We start from the raw sequence: 4,073 nt of genomic DNA, 5'->3' as shown, positions 1-4,073 counted from the left end.
AAAGACAAAGAAGGGGCCAGACTCATCCTTTTATAAGGAACCCACTGCTGCAGTTACAACATTAATCCATTCACTAGGGCAGTGTCCCCATAACCCAAACATTAGGACCTATCTCCCCACATGTTGGGGATCAAGTTTCATTAGGACCTACCTCCCCACACATTGGGGATCAATTTTCCAACACATGAACTTTGGGGAACACATTCAAACTATAGCACTATTAGTCTTTTTTTTCTTATAAAGCTTCATTCTTGTTCACAATCATTGAGAGATGGCCATAGCACAGTGAAAAAATGGTAAATGATGTCTAATTTTTTTTGTGATTGTTGACTATCTCCAAATTGGTGTTTTGTCAACATTTCAAAATAAAAAGCAGGCAGAAATTGCTGAGTTAAAAAAATGGTTTTGAATATTAGCTTATCTAAAGAGGGCTTACATGTTAGAATCATGATGGTTGCAGACTCCCCTTAGCTTCCTTTGGGGAGTAGCAGTTCTGTTATTGTAACTAAGAATGCTCACATTCTCCGGAATGTCCTACATCTCTCTCCACTTAGCATGATTATAACTAATAATTAGAACAACTGTTTCCTTCCTCCCAAGTTTTTATTTGACTTCATAAAACTAAGAGAAAGGGGGAGCAAAAGGGCCATGATTCATAATTCTTTCAAAAATTTATCTTTTTAATGGACAAATAATAATTACATATATTCATGGGTTACATAGTGATGTTTTGATACATCTAGTGTATAGTGATTAGATCAGGGAAATTAGCATATCTATCATGTGAAACATTTATCGTTTCTTTGTGTTAGGAATGTTCAAAATCCTTCTCACCATTTGAAACTATAAGATATATTGTTGCTAACTATAAAATATATTATTGTCATACTGCAGCAGTAGAGAACACTAGAACTTATTCCTCCTATCTAGCTGCAGTTTTATATCCTTCAATATAATTCTCTCTATACACCCCTTCCTTCCCACCCTTTTCAGCCTCTAGTATTCTCTGTTCTACTTTTTACTTCTATGAGATCAACTTTTTAAAGGTTCCACGTATGAGTGAAAACATGCAGTGTTTATCTTTCTGTTCCTGGCTTATTTCACTTAATATAATGTCCTACGGTTCCATCCATGTTGCTGCAAATGATAGGATTTTATTTTTTTTAATGACTGAATAGTAACTCATTATGTATATGTACCACAATTACTTTATCCATTCATTTGTTGTTAGACACCTGGGTTGATCTAATATCTTGGCTATTGTGAAGAGTGCTGTAATAAATATGGGAGTGCAGATGTGTCACTGATATAATGATTGCCTTTCCTTTGGATAAATTTCCAGTAGTGAAATTGCTGGATTATGTGGCAGTTCTATTTGTAGCTTTTTGAGGAAACTCCATACTGTTCTCCATAGTTGCTATACTAGTTTACAGCTGCACTAACAGAGTATGAGAGTTCCCTTTTCTCCACATCCTCATGAATATTTGTTATTTTTTGTTTTTTTGATAATTGCCGTCCTAACTGGCGTGAGATGATACCTGATTGTGGTTTTGTTTTGGATTTCCCTGGTGATTAGTGGCACTGAACATATTTTCATGTATTTGTTAGCCATTTGTATATCTTCTTTTGAGAAATACCTGTTCAGATCATTTGCCCGTTTTTAAATCAGATTGTTTGATTTTATGCTGTTGAGATGTTTGAGTTCCTTCTATTTTCTTAATATTAATCCCCTGTTGGATGAATAGTTTTCAAATAGTTTCTCTATTCTGTAGGTTGTCTTTTCACTCTGTTGATTGGTTCCTTTGCTGCTCAGAAGCTTTTTAGTTTGATATATTCCCATTTATTTATGTTTGCTTTTGTTGCCTCTGCTTTTAAGGTCTTATTTATAATATCTTTTCTCAGACCAATCTCTTGAAGCATTTCTCCTATGTTTTATTCTAGTAGTTTTATCATTTTGGGTCTTACATCTAGGTCTTTGATCAACTTTGAGTTGATTTTTGTACAGGGTGAGAGGTGGGCATCTAGTTTAATTCTTCTGCATATGGATGTCTAGTTTTCACAGTACAATTTGTTGAAGAGGCTGTCCTTTCTCCAATGAGTGTTCTTGGAAACTTTGCCAAAAATCTGTTGGCTGTAGATATGTGGATTAACTTCTGGGTTCTTTATTCTTTTCCATTTGTCTAGGTGTATGTTTTTATGCCAGTACTATGCTGTGCTTGTTACTACTACAGTTTTGTAGTGTATTTTGAGGTCTGGGAGTGTGATACCTCTAGCTTTATTCTTTTTGTTCAGGTTTGGTTTGGCTATTTGGGGTCTTTGTGGTTCCATACAAATTTTAGGACTTTTTTTCCCCATTTCTGTGAAGAATAGCATTGGTATTTTGATAGGATTTGCATTGAATCTGTAGATTGCTTTGGGTAGTATTGTCATTTTAACACTGTTCATTCTTCCAATCTGTGAGTATTGGATGTCCTTCCACCTGTTTGTGTCCTCTTCAATTTTTTAAATCAGTGTTTTGTCATCTTTCTTGTAGAAGTTATTCACCTCCTTGGTTAAATTTTTTCCTAGGTATTTTATTTTATTTTTTGTAGCTATTGTAAATGAGATTGCTTTCCTGATTTCTTTTTTCAGCTAGTTTGTTTTTCATGTATAGAAATGTTACTGATTTTGTTAGTTAATTTTGCATCCTGCAGCTTTATTGAATTTGTTTATCAGTTCTAAGTGTTTTCTTGGTAGAGTCTTTAGGTTTTTTATGTATAAGATTGTATTATATTCTTGGCAAACAGGGACAATTCGATTTCCTCCTTGCCATTTTGGATGTTCTTTATTTCTTTCTCTTGCCTAATTGCTCTGGCTAGAACATCCAGTACTATATTGAATAATAGTGATGAAAGTGGGCATCCTTGACTTATTCCAGTTCTTATAAAAGCTTTTCTCCATCAGTAAGATGTTAGCTGTGTGTTTGTCATACTTGGATTTTATTATGTTGAGTCACTTTTCTTCTAAACCTAATTTATCAAGTTTTTTTTAATCATGAAAGGATGTTGAATTTTAACAAAATATTTTCTGTATCTATTGAGATGATCATATGGTTTTGTTCTTTATTCTATTAATGTGATGTATATATTCCATTAATGATTTGCACATGTTGAGCCATTCGTGCATTCCTGGAATAAATACCATTTTGTCCTGGTGTGTTATCTTTTTGATGTGTTGTTGGATTTGGTTTTCTAGTATTTTGTTTAGGATTTTTGTGTTTATGTTCATTAGGGATATTGGCCTGTAGTTTTCTTTATTTGTTATGCCCTTGTCTGATTTTGGTATTATACTGACCTCATAGAATGAGTTAGGAAGAATTCCCTCTGTTTCAATATTTTGGAATTGTTTGAGAATAATTGGTATTAATTCTTTAAGGGTTTGATAGAAATCAGTGATGGATCTGTCGATCCTGAACTTTTCTTTGTTGTAAGACTTTTTGTTACTGATTCAATTTCATTACTTGTTATTGGTCTTTTCAGGTTTTCTGTTTCTTCTTGGTTCAATCTTGGTGGGTTGTATGTGTCCAGGAATTTATTTATTTCCTCTAGGTTTTCAAATTTATTGGCATACGGTTGTTCATAGTAATCACTAATGATCCTTTGTATTTCTGTGGTATCCATTGTGTTAACTCCTTTTTCATTTCTGATTTCATTTATTTGGATTTCCTCCGGTCTTCTCAGTCTAGATAATGATTTGCCAATTTTGCTTATCTTTTTAAAAAACCAACTTTTCGTTTGGTTGATCTATTGTATTTTTGAGTCTCAATTTCATTTATTTCTGCTCTGATTTGTATTATTTCTTTCCTTTTATTAATTTTGAATTTCATTTGTTCTTGCTTTCCTAGTGTTTATTAATTTTGAGTTTGGATGGTTCTTCCTTTTCTACCTAGTTCCTTGAGATGCATCATTAGATTGTTTATTTGAAATCTCTCTGGTTTTTTTATGTAAATTGCTGTAAACTTGCCTCTTAATACTGGTTTTGCTCTGTCCTATAGGTTTTTGTATGTTGTGTTTCTATTTTGTCTTGAGGAATTT

Source organism: Homo sapiens, chromosome 10, assembly GCF_000001405.40.
Source record: "Homo sapiens chromosome 10, GRCh38.p14 Primary Assembly".
Taxonomy (NCBI): domain Eukaryota; kingdom Metazoa; phylum Chordata; class Mammalia; order Primates; family Hominidae; genus Homo; species Homo sapiens.
Note: the sequence above shows the minus strand (reverse complement) of the source record.